We start from the raw sequence: 23281 nt of genomic DNA on the forward strand, positions 1-23281 counted from the left end.
TGGAAGAATAATATATAATTCAAAATTAATATATCCAAAGCCAAACTCCTGTTATTCCCCCTCAAAACCTCCTCCTCTCACAATCTTCATTATTTAATAATTGACAACTTTATCTTTCAAGTGATTCAGTCAAAACCTTTGAAGTCATCCTTGATTACTCTGCTTATTCCATTCACTAAGTCCAAATTTGTCAACAAACCATTCAGTTTTATCTTTAAAATTTATTCAGAAATACACCACTTCTCATTACCACTACCACTACTACCTGGTTTTAGCCATAACCATACCCTACCTTTCCTCTAGCAAGAATGGTCCAGATGAAATCACTCAGATAAGAAAGATAATATGTCAGGTAATATTACACCTCTATTGAAAACCCACAATGGCTCTCCATCTTCCTCAGAGAAAGTCCAAATTCTTACAATGGTTTAAAAAATCATCTACTTTATCTAGCTCATCCCACTCTTGCAAGACTTCATGCTGCTTCTAGAACTCACTTGGTACAGAAATTTACACTTATTGCTCCCTAGCCTAAAATATTCTTCTAGAGAGCCACATGGCTCCCTCCTCCCTCTCTTCCAGGCTTTGTCACCTCTAGGGAAAGCTTTCTTTGATTACTATTTAAAATGTACACCTCCAAACATCATATCCCTTTCTATTTCTACTTTATCTTTGACCGTATGCCATGGTATATATTTTACCTATTTGTCTCCACCCAATTAAGCTCTATCAGTATAAGGGCTCTCTTTCATTCATTACTGCATCCTCACAGCTCAGCAAAGTACTAGGCACTTACCAGGCACTTGATAAATATTTGTTGACTGTGTATGTAAATAAATGAAAGATATAGACAAGAAGTTAGGAGTTTATCACAATAGGCCAAGGTGAGAAATTATAGTGGCTTGAACCAGGGTGGTAGCAGTGGACATACTGATACATTGCAGAGATAAAGAAAACACGAGTATTGGGATTCCTGTTATTTCTATTTTTCTCATCATACGAGTAACAAATCCACATTGTAGTTGAATGTATCAGTATTGAGAGTTCATTAATGTGAGGCTTCCCGCCAAGGACGTGACCTACCTTCTACATGCCAGTAAAGATCTGCTTCTCAACCTAGAGAACTGAGGACCAGACCTTAAACTGGGATTGCCATATAAAATACAAGACATCCAGATAAATTTGAATTTCAGACAAACAAGGAATGAAATAAAAAGTGTGTTCCAAATATTGCCCAAGGCATAATTATACTAAGTTTACTAAGAGTATATATGTAATTGTATGTAAATATGTGTGAATTTGTGTGTATCTGTTGTTTATTTCAAATTCAAACTGTGAGTGTGCTTTTTGTGTTTGTTATTTGGCTAAAGATGGTAACTCTAACCTGGATTACTGTAAATTCTCTGAACTAAAAAAACATTACTTTGTGTCTTCCTTGGGAAAGATATGTTAGCTTTCTGTTGGTAAGAATAAATCAAATGAGTCTGATTTTTCTCTTTAACTTCTACTTTACTTTTCATTGATAGGGGCTATGAAAGATCAAAGCCATATAATCAGAGCCAGAATTCAATTGTCTTTAAATTCAGTTGCTATACTTTTCTCATTGAATACTACTTTTCAGCCAATAACAATATCAGGATGGAAAAAATATCTGTAACTTAGTTAATGCTACTTTGCATACATCTAGTAAATTTCAATTTGTTTTATAATTCCTTTCTGCCATCTGATTAAATATCATACAATGTGGTATATTCAACTAAGTGTTTGTCTAACAGAGTGGTCCCCCAGTACTCACTCAGCCTAGGGTCAACTTTTCAGCAGATGGTGGTCAGGTCTAAACTCTGCCTTTCCCCCGACTCTCTTAAGTTGACGTGATGTACAAATCATGTATTACCTATGATTGTATAATACTGAATGGGGACAGCTGACGATGGACTCCTTCTCTATACCAGTGCATTCTCCCTGTTCCTTTAACTCCTACATTATAACAGAGCACAGGAATAGCTAGCAAGTGAAGAAAAGTTACAGAGGAAGGAAAAGAAGAGCAGTCTTGATACTAGCATAAACGAGAAGAAAAAGAAGACTTCAAAGCAGAGAGTGGCTGGTATAGAACCTTTCTTAATGTTTTTAATATATGTTACTCACTCTGATTTTAAACTTTCATGTCCCCTACTGAATTTAGCATTTAATTATATACCATCTTCTTTTTATTCCTTCTCTATTCAACAAGATTGACTTCTTGAAATCAGAATATCTATTCATTCACTTCTACCTATCTCAAATTAAATATCTTCTATCAAAATACTTATTGATTTATTGATGAGGTACCTGGAAATAATGGAGGTAAAAATTTACTAAATGAACAAGGGGGGAGTGTGACTAGTGTTAGAGCACAGGAATTGGAGACTAGTGATGTATAGCTAATGACACAGTTGAGTCAGTGTCAACCCTGGACTATAATAAAAAGAATCAGATAACATAATTCCATGCACGAAGTAAGTATTCAACAAATGTTTATTAATTAATATATTAATAAATTAAACTCAAACAACTGTTCACTCTTAATTAAGCCCATGCTCACTAATACCAATATCCATTTTAGAGTCATTCTAAAAATGAAATCACTCCTTTTGTTTTTTCCAGTCTCTTGTTTTGGCCATATAAAAAAGCTTCATACAAAGCAGTTGGAAAACATGTGATCCCTGTTAAGCTTGGCAACAGCATTACATCAAAAGCCATTAGTAGCAATAAAAAATTTTTAATTGTTGTTATATATTGGCAGAAGCTGAAAGTTCATAAAAGTACGTGAAAATAATAATTAAAAATACTGTGAGACCAGAACCAGAACATAGAATTGTCTTAGTTGCATTTTGGAATATTCACCATAACTTAGCGTTTCCTAAAGAACACTGGGCCACAATTATCAGTTATCACCATGTGCCAGAGATACAGTTATGGATTCAAATTAAAATAGTAAGAGACATGGGATTAAATGGGAAATCTAGCAGTAACCACAGACATTTCATTGTATCTTTCATATTTGCTGAACATTAGGTCATTTCACCTTTTTTATTTTATTTATTTTATTTTTTGAGACGGAGTTTCACTCTGGTTGCCCATGCTGGAGTGCAACGGCGCAATCTTGCCTCACTGCAACTTCTGCCTCACAAGTTCAAGCGATTCTCCTGCCTTAGCCTCCCAAGTAGCTGGGATTACAGGCATCCACCACCATGCCTGGCTACTTTTTTTGTATTTTTAGTAGAGATGGGGTTTCACCACGGTGGCCCAGCTGGTCTCGAACTCCTGACCTCAGGTGATCAATCCGCCCACCCTGACCTCCCGAAGTGCTGGGATTACAGGCGTGAGCCACCATACCCAGCTTCATTTCACCTTTTTTAAAAGAAAAGTATTATAAATGTTTTGCAGCTGCATTTCTCTCAGCAAACAATGTGGCTAAGTTTTATAGAATTAGTGAAACAGAAGCTGTAACAGTCTTCATCCACATTGACCACTTACTATCTAGAAAATCTTCCTAATCACCATTGTTGTGTCCCTTACCTCATCGTCATGCTCAGATTGACCCGTCTCTATCTCATTGATGGATCTGCTTACGTATTCATTTTAAATTATTTGTGCAAATAGTACACATAGAGATATTCTTCATCTTCTACAATTTCATGCCAGAGGCTTTGGTAAGAATTTATTCTACTTTTTAAACAGCCAATGTCCACCACTAGAAAGTGGCATTCCTTCTATTATGACACAAGATCACTACTTTCTCCAAGTTCTGTGTGGCTTTTTGAGTATTTACTACCAGGCAACATTAAAAATGCATCTTTAATGTTATAGCAAAATGTGAAGCATTGTGAAGTGATTGCTTTCTCCATATTTCCTATTCCAAATAACATCCTAATTCTACATGAGCTGGGTGCGGGAAGTCTGACATCACACATTTTCAGACATTAGTCCTGCCTCCTCAGATTGTACACCACAGTTGTTTGTAATGGAATAACAACCACAACATTTATAAATCACTTTGCAGTTTACAATGCATATTGACATATATGCCATTCACACGAAAACAGATTAGTAATGTTCAGCTGAGTTCAGGATTCTGAAATAATCATTTATCACAAGTATAAAACGATTATGGAACAACTCAGATTTTAAAACAAGGAATAAATGGGGCGCATTGTGCAGCTATGCACTAACTCACCTGATCTGGGCCAGATTTCCATATTTTTATAGGTGGTCCCTTGGCATACCTCATGGATATGTTCTTAATTGGATGTTCCCATCAGAATTACCTGTAAAGCATATACAAATACAGAATCTTGGGCTCAACACCAGCTCTCTAGAGTTATGTTCTGTGTGCAGATAAGAGAGGATTGATTTCCCAATTTGGTACATTTTTACAAAGCTTAATTAGTTGATTCTGAGGCACATATTTGATGGTGGAATTTTGCACTTGCAACGTTTTATTTTATGGAAACAAACACTTTTTATATTTAAAAAAATGTAAGCCTAGGGCAAACTAGTTGACATCTATTCTTTAGAAGTAGCTGATAAATAACAGGAAATAGACTGAATTCAACAGCATGGTGAAACTAGCCATGGGATAGAATGAACTTATTTGCTATTTTTATTAGTGATACCTGTTTCAGTCTTGATATTAAATACTTTTATAAAAGTACATAAGCCTCAATCAATCACATTTACTGGCTAATTTTGACTTTCTCAGTCCCTCCTTTCTTTGCATTCTTTTTAAGTATTTTTTTATTGAACCTGAAATATGAGAAGGAGAGAGAGAGAGAGACATTCAGAACTTTCCGATAAGAATTACCCTAAAAAACCTCTAATGTGTAGTCGTTTGGAGAAGTCTTATCCCGTCCTTGAGTGACTTAATAAATGCTTTTTCCCTCTAAATATTGATATCATTCAAGGTGAATGAATGTGACCATGCTTATCTATTTCAAGCCCTATATATATTTAGTTTTACTGTAAACATTAGTAGATATTGTAGCTGTATATGATGATACTCCTTGTTTTTCATTGGAATAGTAGAATTCACATACATACAAATAATGAACTGGCTGCTAAATCCAAAATATTTTTGATTTGCAAAACCCTTAGACAGGAAGGTCTTAAAAATTTATAAAACAATTATCTCATTGAGACAGCAATTCCTTTGGTTGCCCAGGCTGGAGTGCAGTGACGCAATCATGGCTCACTGCAGCCTCGACCTCCTAGGTTCAAGCAATCCTCCCACCTCAGCCTCCTGAGTAGCTGGGACCACAGGCACGCAACACCACACCAGGCTAATTTTTCTATTTTTTATAGAGACAAGGTTTGACCATGTTGTCCAGGCTGGTCTCAAACTCCTGAATTCAAGGGATTCTCCCTCCTTGGCATCCTAAAGTGCTGGGATTACAGGCGTGAGCCACCATGCCCAGCACAGAGTGGTGAACTTTATGGACAAGTTTACTTGCGGCATGGAACACTGATGCCATATTGGACAACTGAGGCCACAGGAAGCCACCTTCCACCTTGTACTCCAGGTCTTCCTACAGATACACACACACCCCACTCTCAGTAGAAGTATGTTACCACAGTATTTCAGATAAATTTACACATCAGCTTACAAATGTTTTCCACTTCCTAGTAAAATAATTATTTTATTTTTTCTCTTTTACTGACTGTCACCTCCTTCATCAATATGCAGTTATTTTCTGCTAGTTTTCCACATCACAGGGCTTAACCTCCCTCACCAAAATGACTGTCTCTGGCACTCAGATTTGGCACTTGTTTTTCTTCTTCTTTAACTCTGCTTCAGGCACCTTTATCTATGTTCTCATAATCCCCCAGAGACTTCTTTCTTTCCTGCCAAGAGAAGGGATAATTCACAGCACAAATGTCTACTTCAGTTTTCTTCCTACCCTATCAGTACTAGGAGGATAGAGCTATTTCCAGCAAAGCTTGTTTCTTCATTTTTCTTTTCTTTCCTGAGGTGCAAAATAAAAGAGTAAGAAGAAAAGACAAGTGATGCTTCTTCCAGATGTGGGACAGAACCAAAACTGGTCTCAATATAACTGAGGTTCAATAGACACTCTCTTTTATAGATAAAATTAAGGTTATTTCTAAGCAACAGCCTCCAAATATTTTGATTAACTATTATAGAAACAAGGAACATTAGATCCCAAATGATCATAAGCATCATCTTTAAACTTCACATCTTATATGAAAACAAATTTTGACTTAGTGCCCCTAAAGCAACTAGTAACACAGTTTTCATTTTGCCAAATACAATATTATATTTATTCTTTTTTGTTTACCCAAAATAAAGTATTGGTTTATAAATCACTTTGCGTTACAGAATCCTAACAGTAATCATTGCCTAGTTTGCTAGTAGCCATCAGATGATCAGTGGAGGAGATTAGTGAATCCAGAAACATATCTATGCACTGTACATACAGAGGTTTAATAACAGTCAAGATGGTAAGGATATTTCAGAAAGATAGTTTATTAATAATTGATGAATATAACAACTGGATAACTAATCCAAAATTATAGAGTTGCTTCCATACCTCTTACATCAAAATTAATTTTGACTCAATCACTGGAAATAAAAATGTAAAAGTAAATGAAAATATAAAAGTAGCAGAAGCAGCCATGGCAAGGTATTAAAAAGAAATCTCCTGACTAGGGATGGTCTTTCTATATGACACATATCCTGAAGCCATAAAGCAAAAAAGAATTGAAATTTTAATTATATTACATTCAGTAATAATAGCTATATTAAAGATTCAATAAAAGCAAGGTTAAAATCAAATCAAAAAATGGAGGTATAAATATTTGCAAGTCACATTACAGACAAAGGGGCTAATTTCCCCATATATTAAAAGACAATAAGAATAACAATGGTACAGTAAAAACCTGGAAAATACTAGAAATGGTTTACAGAAAAGTATTAAAAATAACTTCAATATATTTTCACATATGCAACTTTGCTCTTATTCAAAGAAATGAACATGAAAATTTTAAGACTATCCCATTTTCACTTCTCTGTTTGGCAAAGGTCTAAATGTTTGTTAACAAAATTGTGTTGATGGGTGATATGATTTGGCTGTGTCCCCACCCAAATCTCATCTTGAATTGTAGCTCCCATAATTTCCACATATTGTTGGAGGGACCTTGTGGGAGATAACTGGATCAGAGGGACAGTTTCCCCCGTACTGTTCTCATGGTAGTGAGTAAGTCTCATGATAATTGATGGTTTTATAAACGGAAATCCCTTTCACTTGGTTCTCATTCTCTCTTTTCTGTTGCCCCGTAAGACGTGGATTTTGCCTTCCACCATGATTGTGAGGCCTCCCCAGCCACATGGAACTGTGAGACCGTTAAACCTCTTTTTCTTTATAAATTACCCAGTCTCAGGTATGTCTTTATCAGCAACCATGAAAACTGACTAATACAGTGGTGTTGTGAAAAAAGAGGTACTCTAATTTATTTGGAGGGGGTGTAAAAATTTTTACAATAGCCATGGATAAGTTGTCACGAATTAAACCCCAAGTAAAAGACCTCATACTTGAAAAGACCTTAGAGTCTTTATTACAGTACTCTACTTTCAGGAATTTATGCTAATATTACTCATTACACGTTAGTAAAATTTTATTCATTTAAGACTATTAATTGAAGCACTGTGTTGAACTGGCAAAAATTTGGAAAGTACCCTATATGTTCAGCAATATGACTGATGAAGTACATTTGGATAGGTCCTTAAAATGGAATAATAAGCAGATTAAGTGACAAAAATAGCAAGGCATTAAGCAGTGCTCATGCTGCATTTCATGTGTCTGTATGTAGCATGCTACCACCTGCATATAAGAATGTTTCTATCTGTGCATGCATTTGCTTGATATGCACACAATATCTCTGGAAATATGTAGTAGTTTGTTCATGGAAAGGGTCTGGATGGATGGCAGACAAGCATATGCTTTTTCTACCTTTTCAATTTCATCAACTTTTTAATTTAAGATGTACATTAAGTCAAATTACAAAACTGAAAATTTTCAGTAGCATAATCATATTTTTGTAAATATTTTACCTAATAAAGGTTTACCTAATAAAGGTTTTCATATTTGTAGCTCATTTAACATAAGAATTCTTAATATAGAGATAACATATAAAGTAATTTTTTAATTAATTTCAGTTAAGTTCTAGTAAGGGGTCTCTGGGACCATTACTTCCTCCGGAACTTAGGACCTTCCAGGCAAATGACATTTTCTAATGAAATTTTTATATGTGGTTTTCAAGTCATTCCCCTAATAATTAAAACCTGTGTGCCTCAGATATAAAGTTGATTAGTGAAAACTCCTTATACTACTATTGCTTGTATTTAGACATGAATAATATATTTGTAATAATAGTGTAGGGTAAATATTTGGCTATGATTTCTTTTTGTTTAAGATTAGTGGGTTATATTTGCTTGAGAATTAGGCAGAAATAACTGGTCTCCCTATTTCCGCTTAGGCAGCCTGAATACTAAATACCTGGTAATTATAGTCTACCCCCTCTTTGTATGGACCCTGATTAAGAGTCAGATTCAACCCCACTGGCCTTATAAGAGAACTGGGCCATGACAGGCAGGGACATGTTGGTGAATTCTCTCTGAGTTAGAGAGGAACAACCAGACAAATACTCACTTGTGCTATTTCTGCATATTAAGGACCACTGATAGAATTTTTTCCTTGGTCTGATAAGAAAAGATTCCACTTTCTGAGGACAATACACACCACCCCTTCCCAGCAGTCTGTGTAAATCCTAATCTTCTTGGAGTGAGAAAAATCATTAAATTCTACCATCTCTCTTTGTCCAGGAACCTCCACTTTTCCTCTCTACTGATCTTGGGAGGAACAGGAGATGACAAGAAAGTTAGCTTTTGTTTTTATTCATATACTGGGTCCATGAAACTGTATGAATAGTTGCTTCATATAAAGGGGAGAAAACCTATTTGGTTTTATATCTGAATCTGCAAAATTAGTTTCACTTGAAACTTAAATATACTTGCATCATTCTTTTCCTTTAGCCAAAAACTGAGGTACCTCAATGAGATCATGTTCAGAATAGGAGTTCAATTTTTGTTGAATTGAACAGTGTACTTGAGACCAGGCAGATGATGCTTATGTCATTATAATTTCTACCCAAACAGAAGACTGGCAGTATAAAACATAAAACCTCCTCTCTAGGATTTCAATCATTCTCTTTCATAAAGACAAAATAATCTCTCATTAAAGTGAAGCTCATTTATATTCATGTAGAGATAATATGCAACCCTCCCCTCCCCCTCAAAAAAGACTAGCTCTGTATGATTGCAGTAACATCTAATCAGTTACAATTTGTGTGGTTTCTTTTTTTCCCTTTTTTCCAGAAAGCTAACTACATTTACATGATCAGCATGATACATATCAAAATACTTGTTAATGTGAACTCAATTTGAATGATACCAGGGGTTTTACGTTTACTGGAGCTGATTTACCAGGTAGAAGTGCTTGATTATTTTCCCCCTTGCCAAGATTAAAAAAAAAATTGGAATTTAGGAGATAGTGATAAGTTTAATTAAAGTGGAACTTTAAAAAAGTATTTTAAAAGGGTTATTTTAAGATGCCTAAATTTCAGTAAGTCATACAAAATAATTATGGAAGCTAAAGGAATTTTCAAACTTTACAAATGTTCACTTGGTGTCTTCATTCTTCTTTTTTATGTCCTTAAGTCTGATTCCAGAATTTAAGTTCTTTTTGAAATTTGAAAGTAAATATTTGAATTTACTTGTTCTCCCACTTTAAGTTTTTTGAACTAACACTGAGAGAAATAAACTTAAAGCATATTGAAGACACTGCATTTTTAAGGTCTCTTTATAACAGCAGCTTAGCCTCTGACCTACATGATTTATTGTAGATTCATTGTACTTGATGCAACTGATCAGAAATCATAGTCAGCATTAGCAATATAACTAAATGGCTTTTGCTTTTCTATATGTTAATCAACTCTTCTGGCTTAGGTCTCAGGCCCAAGATTCTATTCTCACTCCTGTAATCCTGCCCATTTACTCAGAAGTGCAGGCAATACTGACATCCAAGGCAATTCTTGATACACTGCATATATGAATTTCTGTCTTCTACTTTTAAAATTTTTCTTTATTCTTTCTTTCTTGTTTCAACAGTATTCTGAATTAATTAATTAAAGTCTCATGGGCAGTATTTTTTATATACTGCGAACTTCAGGATAAAGATTCTGAAATACTTCCCTGCTTGAGAGGCTTTAACTTATTTTTTCATATGAATGTCCAATATGTTAAAAATATAGTGGTGGTAATAGTGATCATTCACAGCACCCATCAATGAAACAGGTTGCATTAGATGCATTGGATTTAATAGTCTAGTCTTTTTAGTCACCTTTAACATGGAGCAGGTCCATAGACCTCCTTGGTTCACCTGGCAAGATCTCTTTTTCATAAAAATCTTGAGACTCTCTGAGAGTTGTGCTTCTCTTTTGTACAAAAACATGTTTCAATTTACAACAAATTAATAAATATTTGTTACATGAATGAATAAATACAGAAACTTACATGGTTAATTTTACAGCAAATCAATAAATATTTGTTAAATAAATGAATAAAGACATAAATTTACATGGTTAATTTTATGAAGTTTTGCTAATTGGTCAGGAAAAAAAATTACTTTTCCACTGTCGTATATGATGACAGCCATCTTCCACCTTTCATTTACCACTTAGCAAATTATTTCTTATGCTGTAAGATTTTACTCTGTGAACACAGCTTCTTGAAGTTTAAATTTATTCTTAATGAGAAAATCTCAGTTAACATAACAGAAAGGCATTGCCTGAAGAAGCAGAGAAAAGATACTAATGTAAGTATCAAATAGATGTTATTGGCCCTATTGAAAAAGGTGAATATATAACCTATATTAATCTCATGCTTCCTAAGAATTGGACATTGGTAAAACTTTTTAAAATGTATATATTTTTCATAAATTATTTTTCAATTTAAGTGATATTACAAAGAAAGACATTTATATTTTCCTGAACCTCCTATAAAGTATCTTTTGTTTGCTTATTTTTTAATTTATAAGAGAAAACTAATTCCAAAGTAAATGTTTTTAATAACATTCCAATTTTTAGCAACTTATTTTTTCAAGATAGGCTTATTGACATTAACATTCTTCATATTGTTTGAAGTTTGAAAGCTCACATGATGCCCCTTGAATCCTAAGTATTTCAAAGTATATTTCTTAGGGATAAATATATTATCCTACCTATAATGCTATACTAATTTTAACTTTCAAAATTAGAAAGTTAACATTCGTGCAATAGTATCATCTAATCTAGAGATGTTATTCAAATTTTTCCAATTTTCCCAATAATGTCTCTTATTTTAAAAATCCTGTCTGATTCAATATTATTCATTAGATTTACTTATTCAGCCTTTTACTCCCTTTTAATATGGAGCAGTTCCACAAATTTTCTTTAACTTTCTCGACCTTGACATATCTGAATAGTATAGAGCAGTTATTTTATAAGTGTCTCTCAATTTGAGCATGTTTGATATTTCATCACTGTCAGATTGTCATATGCCCATCTGGAGTAATACTTAAGTGATGTTGTATTTTTCTCAGTGCATTACATAAGGAGGCACATTACATCAGTTTGAGCCATTATTGGACATGTTAATTTTGATTAATCATTTGCCTGCCAAATTTCTCCACTATAAAGTTATTACTTTTCTCTTTGTAAGTAATACGTGTTTTGTAGAGAGATACTTTGAAATACATAAATCTCTTATTCCTTAACAAGCTTTCACTCACTAGTTTGTGTCTGTTAATAATTATTACTATAGTGAAAGTTAAATGGTGATTTCTTCAACTATCATTTCTTCTAAATTTATTAGTCAGCATTCTACTGTAAGGAAGAGGTTTTCTTTTCTTTTCCCCCCATTTTTTCATTCACTTATATCAGTATGGACTCATGGATTTTTATTTTCCTTAATGAGTTATAATCCATTATTATCACTGTTTTGAAGTTCAATGTATCCCAGCTTTGGCCAGTGGCATCCCCTTCAAGCAGCCCCTAAGGCCTTTTGACATGTCTCTGTCATTTTTTGATTACATCCGTATATTAAGGCACAGGATATTCCAGATCCATATTGTACTTTCTTTTCTGAGCCAGCCTGGAATCAGCCATTTTTCCAAGAAGTCTTGGATCCTTTAATTTAGACACCAAGATATGGTTGGTTCATTGTTACTGGAGAGGCATTGATTTCAGGATCTCTCAACAGAGGGAGCTAGCAATTCTATACTGGTTTCCCTGTCTTGCTCACTCTTGTTCTCTTTTCCTCTCTCCCTCCCTTCCTGCCTCCCTCTCACTCATTCTCTATGTGTGCCTCTGAGAGTGTGTGTGCATGTGTTTGTGCAATATAGTTATATCTATTATTTCTACTTCATCTATCTATATATCTAATCCCTCCCTCCTCTCCTTCCTTCCTTCCTTTCCTTCCTTCCTTCTTTCTCTCTTCTCTTTCTTCCTTTCTTTCCTTTCTTTCTTTCTTTCTTTCTCTTTCTTTCTTTTCTTTCTTCTTTCTTTTTCTTTCTTTCTTCTTTCTTTTTCTCTCTTTGCCATGAGTACATGTCAGTACCATCAATTCTAACCCAATACCAGAGAATTTATTCTAGCCCTCCTTCTTTCCATATTTCTAAGAGTAAGAAACCTGACTCCAATTATCCTCAAAATATTTATTTGTTTGTTCAATTCACTGAAACTGCCAACCATTCCCACTGCAAAGTCAAACTTACTGACTAGAGTTCAATATTTTCTTACATTTCTCTCTGTTAGTAGCCTAAGAGTACATGTTCAAAATATGTTCTTCAGCTTTACTTGAGTTAGTTTTGGCTCTTTTTCCACCCCTTCAATGTGGTTATATTATTGTTGACATATTATTACTATTGTGGTGGTGATGGCTATTGTTTAATATGTAAAACATTAGTGTGGTTTCAGGAATTCTCATGCTAAAAGGGAATGCTCGGAGAATTATTTCTTGCACTCCTCACTTTCACTCATTCTTAGCCCCAATTCCTTTCATCCTGTTTTATTTTTACCCCGTATACTTTCTGCCATGTTTCAAAGCTTCCTTTTTTACATAATCAATCTTATGAATTTGTTTGATCATTCCAGTCTCTTTAAAAAAAAGTCTTCTCTCTCTTTCTCTAAATATATGATATATATATTTATGTGTCTGTGTGTGATATCTCCCCTCCTTTTTTACACGAAATTTGCTTCCTATAGGTACTTTTTTTAACACTTTATTTTTTTTAGAGCAGTTTAAGGTTCACAGCAGAATTGAGAGGAAGGTACAAAGATGTCCCATATGCTCCCTGCCCCCTGCCCCCACATGCATACCTTTCCATTATCAATATTCCCCTCTGGAGTGATACATTTGTTCAATTGATGAACCTACAATGATATGTCATAATCACCCAATGTCTATAGTTTACATTAGGTTTCACTCTTGGTGTTGTACATTCTATGGGTTTGGATAAATGTGTAATGACATATATCTATTGTTATAAGATTATACAGAATATTTTCATTGCCCTAAAAATCCTCTGTGTTCCTCCTAGTCATGCCTTCCCTCTCCCAACCCCTGGCAGTTACTAACTTTTTTACCGTCTCCATAGTTTTGGCTTTCCCATATTATATAGGTGGAATCATGCAGCCCCTCTAAATTGGCTTCGTTCACTTTTTAATACACATTTAAGATTCCTCCATGTCTTTTTATAGCTTGATAGCCCATTTTGTTTAGCACTGAATAAATCCATTATCTGGATTCACCACACACAGTATTTTGTATTTTGTTAAAAAATCTATTTACCTACTGAAGGACATCTTGGTTGCTTCTGACTTTTGGCAATTATGAGCAAAACTGCTATAAATTTTTGGTGTGCAGGTTTTTGTGTGAATGTAAGTTTTCAACTCTTTTGTGTAAATACCAAGGTGTGTGATTGCTGGATCATATAGTAAAAGTAATTTAGTTTTGTAAGAAATTGCCAGACTGTGTTCCAGGGTAGCTGTACCACTTTCCATTCCCACCGATGATAAAAGAAAGGTCATTACTCCACATGCTTGCCAGTATTTGGTGTATTTGGTGTTCTGGATATTCGCCACTCTAATAGGTGTATAATGGTATCTCATTGTTGTTTTAATTTGCAATTTCCTAATGGCATTTAATGTGAAGCATGTTTTCATATGCTTATTTGTCATCTGCATATTTCCTGTTAAGTCTTAATTTTTTAATTAGATTGTTTTCTTCTTGGTGCATTTAAAGAGTTCTTTGTATATTTTAGGTAACAGTCTTTTATCGGCTGTGTCTTTTGCAAATATTTTCTCCCAGTCTACGGATTGTCTTCTATTCTCTTGACATATTTTACACGGCAAAATATTTTATTTTAACGAGGTCCAGCATATCAATTTTTTTTCATGAATTGTACCTTTGGTGTTGTACCTAAAAAGTCATCACTATACTCAAGGTCATCAAGGCCTCTTTCTATGTTATTTTCTAAGAGTTTTATAGTTTTATACTTTACAGTGAGGTCTATGATTCATTTTGAATTTTTTTTATGAAGAGTATAAAGCCTATGTCTAGATTCCTACTTTGGCATGTAGTTGTACAGTTGTTCCAGCACTATTTGTTAAAAAAGATTACATTAGCTTCATTATAGTGCCTTTGCTCCTGTGTCAAATATCAGTTGACCACATGTGTGTGGGCCTATTTCAGGGCTTTCTATTCTGTTCCATTGATTGCCAATACCACACTGTCTTGATTATTTTAGCTTTATATAGTAAGTTTTCAAGTTGGGTATTGTCAGCCTTCCAACTTTGTTCTCTTTCAATACTGTGTTGGTTATTATGGGTCTTTTGCTTCTCCATATGAACGTTTGAATAAATTTATAGATATTCACAAAATAATTTGCTGGGATTTTGGTTGACAATGTGTTGTATCTATACATCAAGGTGGGAAGTACTGACATCCTAACAATTTTGAGTCTTCCTATCCATGGACATGAAATATCTCTTCATTTATTTAAATCTTCTTTGATTTTATTCATAAATTAACATAAGAATATATGGTTCAACTGCAAAAAATACAAATACAAATAAAAAGACAAAACATACATACTTCTAAATAAATTTTGTCTTTTTTATCCTTCTAATGATGTATTTATTTATTGCTTATATGCATTTCCTTTAGTAAACTATCTTTAATTCCATTTGAAAGTGGCTCAGTAGAAATAGAATACATAAATAAAGATTATTTTTAATCAGCTTGTCACTATTCAGACTCTTTCTATCAATAACTCTATCAATAAAATAACTCTTTCTCTCAATAACTAGATGTTATTGTTCTGTTATATATCACTGAAAAAGATACAAACCTAAAACTTCATATTTTAAAGCAATAATATTATCTCTCACAGTTCTGTGGGTTTACTGGGCCCATCAGGATTGTTCTGCTGTTCTTACTTGGGACTTTATGGGGTGGCATGCAGATGTTAGCTGGGGGTAAAGTCCTGTGGACTTTCATCTAGAATGCTTGGGTGATAGGGCCAATCTCTCTCTCAATATAGTCTCAGGGACTCTTTTCAAGTGGTCTTTTCTCAGGGTAGCCAGACTCCTTATATGGTAATTCAAGGCTCCCAAAATGTGAAAGTAAAAGCTGTCAGGCCTTCTTAGGGCATAGCCCAGAATGGAAAATGTTACTGTCTCCATTTTCGATTAGTTAACACCAGTCACCCGCCCAGTTTAGATTGAGGGAGAAGAGACAATACAAAGACATAAACACCAGGAGGCATAGTTTATTGTGGTCCATCTTTGTTGTGCTCTTCAACATCCCATTTACATTCAGAAGTACAAAACAAAGAGCAGATAATTTCTCTTTACTTCTGCTATTTTCACAAAACAAAGCAATCTTCAAATGATTTCCCACTTCTTAAATGTGTCCTGGTTAACTATATGCTTCCTTTCTCTGATTTCTTACTTCCTAGAGTTGTTTAGATTGCCAGGGCCAATGGCCAAACCATGAACATTTACTGGCCAATATTTGTTTTCTGCAAAATGTATTTTAAATACAGTGGATGAATCCCAAAATTATGCCTTATTTTTGACTTTCTTTTTCTTTTTACTATGAATAGAAATTGTGTGAGAGTCAAAAGCCTTGACAGCTGGGAATCTGCTTGTTTGTTATTGTATCACTTGCCTTGTACATAGTAAGTGATAAAACATACTTGCTGTATTGAAAATTGAACGGATTCTACAGTGAAATCTTTATGTCCCATGTTTTCACTAGGTCCAGTGAGAAACTTGGCTTACGCAAGATGCTGCTTTCTCAATAACTGCATTCCTCCTTCCCTGTGGCACAAAAGCTATATTTATGTTGTGAGCTCCCCAGTCCTAGGCAACTTGGTGTAGAAAAACTGGAATGAGATCCTGCCTTCAGCTTGGAAGTCTATACCTGAAAAGTCTCAGCCTGAATATTTCCTTTTTGTTTTTAGCAATTACTATCAGAATTATTCTAATATGGAATACACTAGAACCTCCACCAACATATTCTCTTCTTGAGCCAACTTTGTTAAATTTAATTTCGTGATGATTAATTAAAGTAACAAAAAACTCCAAAAGAAAAATCAGTTTAGATTTTAGTTGACAATTTTTCTAAACCTTATTCTTTTTAATCAGTCACAATATTACAAAATTATTTTTTGAACAGTTAGTTGTACGATTCATTTTCAATCTAAAATCCTGCCTGCAGATTAAGAAGGTAGGTGTGTGCTGTAGCTAGATTTCATCTGATGGCTAAATTTTCAATATGTGTGCTACTAAATCTTGATCTGTGCTCTGTGACTCCTTTAAACTCTATCAATGGGGTGCCTTCCAGAAACTGAACTAGTACATTCTCTGCTGAACTTATCTCAGTAGGACTTTTCTCTATTGAATATTTGACAGCAGCCTTTCATTCAATGTGTGGGCATTTGTGTATTTTAGCAATTAGGAACTTGTAATATTTAATAATATGAAAAATAATTTAAAGTGATATTAACTTGGATTATAAGCTATATATGAGGTTTTTTTTTTGTTGTTGTTGTTGTTTTTTTTTAAGACCATCTTTTTTGTGTGAGTATAAGCAAGAGAAAGCAGTTATCTTCAACGAGGAGAAGGCACACTGCTCCATGGCTCATTTCTGTCCACACCAGCAGTCCTAGTAGTTAGCCTACCACAGGCCACATAAGCCTTCTCAGTCTTCTTTTATAGCCAAGTCAGCCACAAATAGGGCAGGAGCAAGAGTCAAAAATACACCTTGGGAAGTGAATACATATGGCATATTTCATCATTTGGAATATATTCATTTATAACTTTGAAAATTCCTTTATGTAGCTGTGTAACTAATCAGTGAGAATTATTTTACATACTTTAACTAGGTTCCAAGTATTACAATGCCGACCATTGGTACGAATTTTCAGATGACATATATCAATGTCTGAAAATTTGTAATTAATAGGAAAACTCCAAAGGAAGTCATGAGAGCCTAGTTACATCAGACAGTCTACACACACACACACACACACACACACACACACCTTATGTAATTTATAATTTTTAGCTTTATTCATCTTGAACTTTATTCCTATCGACTTTGCTGAGGAGTTTCTTTTCTTTTTTTCTTTTTTTTTTTCTCTTCCTTTCCAGGCTAATTTGATCTTCAAAGCCTCCCTGACAGCTTTATCCTGTTCTTTGACTCTGGCTAGGCCCCTGAACCCACTCAATTAATTACACGAGAGAGTAATTTTCCTTTTGTCAGCAAGATCTTGCTTCTTACCAACATTTCTCTAGCTAACTTTTCCTTTGGCTGAATTCTATTTCATTGTCTTAATAACTAAACAAAGAAGAATAAGAGAAAAAACAACACTCAAAGAAAAAATGAAAATTATTACTAATTAATATTTTCTATATTCTTAGAATGCTTTGGATTTACTGATCAAACTAATTTATGTTGCATTAGTTTACATTAAGTTATACCAAATGCATGCTAGTAATGGTGAAAATAAATATTTGCATAAGTAACTGTAATTGAAAGAAAAACAAAGTGTCATACTCTTATAAGAACGTAGCCAATTTTTATATACTGCTTTTTATTTGTTAAGCACAGATCTATGGGTTTTACTTTTATTAAGTCATTTAACTCTCAAAACAGTCCCCTGAAGTAGTTTTACCATCCCCCTTTGCAGCTGAAGAAACTGAAGTGCAGAAAACTTAAGTCACTTGGTTGAGATCATACAGGAAGAACCGAGAGCTGAACCTGTTTTAATAGTCCATAACCTTAACCTTTAGAGAAAGGTCACTACCAGCATATCTTGGAGATATTGCTGGTTCAGTTCCTAACCACCTCAATAAAGTTACTATCACAGTAATGCAAGCGATATTAATATTTTGGTTTCCCAATGCATACAAAAGTTATATTTACACTATCCTGTGGTCTATTGAGTATGCAATAACATCAGGTCTTTAAAAACAATTTACATACCTTAATTTTAAAAGACTGCTAAAAATGCTAATGAACATCTGAGACTTCAGCAAGTTGTAATCTTTTTGCCTGTGGAAAATCTTGCCTCAAGATTGATGGCTGCTAACTCATTAAGGTGGTGTTGCTAAAGGTTGAAGTGGCTGTGGCAATTTCTTAAAGTAAGACTACAATGCAGTTTGCCATATCAATGGACTCTTCCGCTTATGAGAGATTTCTCTGTAGTAAGTGATGCTGTTGAATAGCATTTTACCTGCAGTAGAACTTCCTTCAAAATTGAAGTCAATCCTCTCAAATCCTGCCACTGCTTTATCAACTAAGTTTATGTAAGCAATATTCTAAATATTTTGTTTTCATTTCAGCAATGTGCACAGTATCTTCTTCACTAGAAGTAGATTCATCTCAACAAACCACTTGCTTTGTTCAGTCACATACAGCAACATCTCGCCCATTCATGTTTTATCATGAGATTGTAGCAATTCAGTCAAATCGTTGGGCTCCACTTCTAATTCTACCTTACCTGCTATTTCCACTGCTATTACCTGCAGTTATTTCCTCCAGTAACATCTTGAACTACTCAAAGTCAATCATGAGAGATGAAATCAACTTTGTTCAAATTCCTGTTAATGTTGAAAATTTGACCTCCTCCCATTAATCACAAATGTTTTTAATGAGATCTAGAATGGTGAATTCTTTCCAAATGGTTTTCAATTTACATCACCCAGATCCATCAGAAGAATCACTATCTATGCAATCTTTAGCTCTTGGGAATGTATTTCTTAAATAATAAGACTTGAAAGGTGCAATTACTTCTTGATCCATGGACTGCAGAATGGATACTGTTTTAGTAGGCATGACGACAACTTCAATCTTCTTGTATATCGCCATCAGAGCTCTTGGGTGACCAAGTGCATTGCCAATGTGCAGTAATATTTAAAAAGTGATTTATCTTTTTTTTTCTGAGCAGTGGGTCTCAACGGTTGACTTAAAATATTCAGTAAACCATGCTGTAAGCAGATGTGGTGTTATACAGGCTTTGTGTTTGCATGTATAGAGCAAACACAGAGTAGATTTAGCATAATTCTTAAGGCCTCTAGGATTCACCATTTTGGAATGGTAAATGAGCATTGTTTTCAACTTCAAGTCACCAGCTGCCTTAACATCTCATAAGAGAGTCAGCCTGTCCTTTGAAGCTAGGCATTGACTTCTCCTCTCTAACTATGAAAGCCCTAGATGGCATCTTCTTTCAATAGTAGACTGTTTTGTCTTCATCAGTGATATTAACTAGATCTTCTGGATAACTTGGTGAAGCTTCTGCATCAGCACATGGTGTTTCGAATTGCACTTTTATGTTATGGAGGTGGCTTCTTTCCTTAAACCTCATGAACCAACCTCTGTTAGCTTCAATCATTTCTTCTGCAGCTTCCTCACCTCTCTCTGCCTTCAAAGAATTGAAGAACATTAGAGCCTTGCTCTGGATTAGGCTCTGCCATAAGGGAATGTTGTAACTGGCTTGATCTATGCAGACTACATAAACTTTCTCTATATCAGCAATAAGGCTGTTTTGCTTTTTTATCATTCATGTGTTCTCTGAACTCACACTTTTAATTTCCTTCAAGAACTTTTTTTTGGCATTCACAACTTGGCTAACTCTTTGACACAACAGATCTAGATTTCCACCTCCCATTTCAGTTTTCAACATGTTTTCCTCACTAAGCTTAATTATTTCTAGCTTTTGATTTAAAGGGAGATATGTGGGGCTCTTCCTTTCACTTAAACACTTACAGGTCATTTAGGGTTATTACTTGGCTGAATTTCAATATTGTTATGTCTCAGGGAATAAGGAGGCTTGAGTAGAGGGAAAGAAACAGGGTGGTTAGCCAGTGTAGCAGTCAGAACACACACATTTATTGATCAAGTTCATCATTTTATCTGGGTGCAGTTTGTGGCAAAACAATTACATTGGTATCATCAAAGATCACTGATCACAGATCACCATAGAAGATTTAATAGTACTAAAAGTTTTGAAATATTATAAGAATTACTAAAATTTGACATAGAGGCACAAAATGAGCACATGCTATTGGAAAAAATGGCGCTGATAGACTTGCTCAATGCAGGGTTGCCACAAACCTTCAATTTGAAAAACATGCAGTATCTGTGAAGCAAATAAAATAAGGTATGCCTGTATTGAGAAAGGTAGAGAACTAGCATTTGTTAAATGACACCAGCTATCCTGATAAATACTGTACATACATTGTCCCATTTACTCCTCCAAACAACTATATTATGGAATACTAATATTCTTATTTTGCAGAGAAAAAAACAGATTCTTATACTGTCAGAAAACTTTACCAAATTTGACAACTATTAAGATGCATAATTATGTTAAAATGTGGGTCTATTGCACTCAAGAGTTCCATTTTATTACACCTTGTAATATTGATGGGTTTTAAAGTGAGTATTAAAATAATCTGTACTCAGTATTTAAAAAAATGGATGTGTGCATTGGGTGCAGGAACCCTAAATGAAAAGAGAATAATGTACTGGGGTACATAAGAGTAGAGAACATCATAAATAGCATACTTTGTGTGCTTTTTCTAGTAGGTAGAGGAGTTACTGAATGGTTCCAAGGCGAGAGTAACCTGAAGAGATACGAACATTTTAGAAAGACAACTTGGGCATCAATATATAAGACTGATGGGAAAAGTGTGGTTTGAGATGTGCTAAAGATGTAATATTTTCAAGATTTGAACGCTAATTTGATGTAGGATGTAAGAGGAAATAAATTGTTTAGTCTAAGGCTCAGTTTTTTAACTGGTATACTGAGTAAAAAATGAGGCTGTGGACCAACATAGACATTTCAGGTAGGGAAGCAAGTTTGATACAAAAGAAGATGAATTCAGTCATGTAAATGTATTATTTTTGAGTACTTTTAGATCATCCAGTTGGAGATAGTCACAAATAGTTGGCTGTGTAGGTTTGGCTTTGAAGATTAAGATTTTGTAATTATCATCATAGAGGGGATAGTTGAAGTTATGGAATTGAATTAGTATCCTCAAGAAAAGAATGCAAAATAGTTTCTCTAAGTTAAATGCGGCAAAGTCTCAGTAAAGTCAAAGAGATATAAGCCAGATATTAATAGGTTCAAAATTAACCAGACAATGAGAAAAATGGAGATAGAAAGATTAGACCTTGGATGGAAGGTCAGAAAAAGGGTCAGGATAAGGGTTGAAATTTTGTCATTGTTGTTGTTCTTTTTAATGGTGATGGTGATGGTTCTTACTTTGCTTACTGTTATCATTTAAAGTAAAAACAATATCAGATTATTTATAAGGTTGGAGAAAGGGGCAAATACAGAATGAGATGTCAAAAACTGGGAAGATAGGGATACCTCACAAATGAAAGAAAACTGATGGGAAACTAAGTCAAAATGCAGGTGGAGGTCTGAGTCTTGAATGGGAAATTAAAAATTTCTTCATCTGAGGCTGGAAGAGAAAAGAGGGAGGCAATAGACGAAGAATGTTAGCTACGGAGGTAATAAATTGATACAGTTCAAATCACATATCTTTATTTTTCTTGGAACTATTGGAGGCAAATTTATATGCTGAAAGGTGCTAGAGTTGTTATATAATAAACTGATTATATAATAGAACATTAATTATATAAAACATAATTAGCAAGAGTCAAGGAAGTCACAACCCCATGGCATAAGTAATTTATCAAATGAAAGAGCAACCTCTGGTAATATGTACCTTCCAACTGAAGAAGGATTAGAGGGAGACCTCTTGAACTCAGAAGTATTTCAAATTTCCCACTATCTGACAATTAGTTTTAATTTTGTAGTGCAGGGAGTTTGAGATAATGAAGACAGAAATTGAAAACTACTTTTGGTCAATAAAGTATTGAAAAACGGTATATAAATGATGTGAGTTACTTTCTCTTTTGGGGGATACTTCACATTTGAATTCTCAGTAATTAAAAAAATATATATATAGGGAGGGGGGAGGGATAGCATTAGGAGATATAACTAATGCTAAATGACGAGTTAACAGGTGCAGCACACCAGCATGGCACATGTATACATATGTAACTAACCTGCACATTGTGCACATGTACCCTAAAACTTAAAGTATAATAATAAATATATATTTTATATATATACATATAGAGAGAGAGAGAGAGTGTGAGAGAGAGAGAGAGAGAGAGAGAGAGAGAGAGATAACCAAATACAGATAAATAGGTTTCTCACTCTGCCATATCCATATTACATTTCTCTAGGATCTTTTTTTTTTTTTTTTGAGATGCTCTAGTGTCTAGTATTAGAACCCTTAATCTAAGACTATTTATTATATTTTTTTCTGTAGAATGTATTCCAGAATATGCTACTCATTGGAAACGGTGATAGAAATTTGAAATTGCTCTGAGTTCATAATGAAGAATGACCAACATCTATTATTCATCAAATGAAATTCTCCACTAAACAAAATCCTGACCTTTGTGAAAGTGCTTCTTTAACTTTGTAACTAATGCAATAACCACATGACCTTTGGTGCTCAAAAACCCTTGAGTGGCTCTCTACAACTTCTGCAGATTCTTAAGAGTTGGGTACATGAAATAGCTATTTCTAGGTAAAGTCAA

The 23281-nt window shown here is 34.3% G+C and overlaps 1 annotated feature.

The window, feature by feature from the left end:
* Positions 15527–16239: an enhancer, noted in NCBI's record as "NANOG hESC enhancer chr6:93833219-93833931 (GRCh37/hg19 assembly coordinates)". NCBI's record gives its function as "activates a minimal SCP1, AML or CMV promoter by ChIP-STARR-seq in naive H9 embryonic stem cells {active_cell/tissue: H9 hESC(naive)}" and the evidence as "EXISTENCE:reporter gene assay evidence [ECO:0000049][PMID:30033119]".

This window comes from Homo sapiens, chromosome 6 (genome assembly GCF_000001405.40).
Source record: "Homo sapiens chromosome 6, GRCh38.p14 Primary Assembly".
Taxonomy (NCBI): Eukaryota; Metazoa; Chordata; class Mammalia; order Primates; family Hominidae; genus Homo; species Homo sapiens.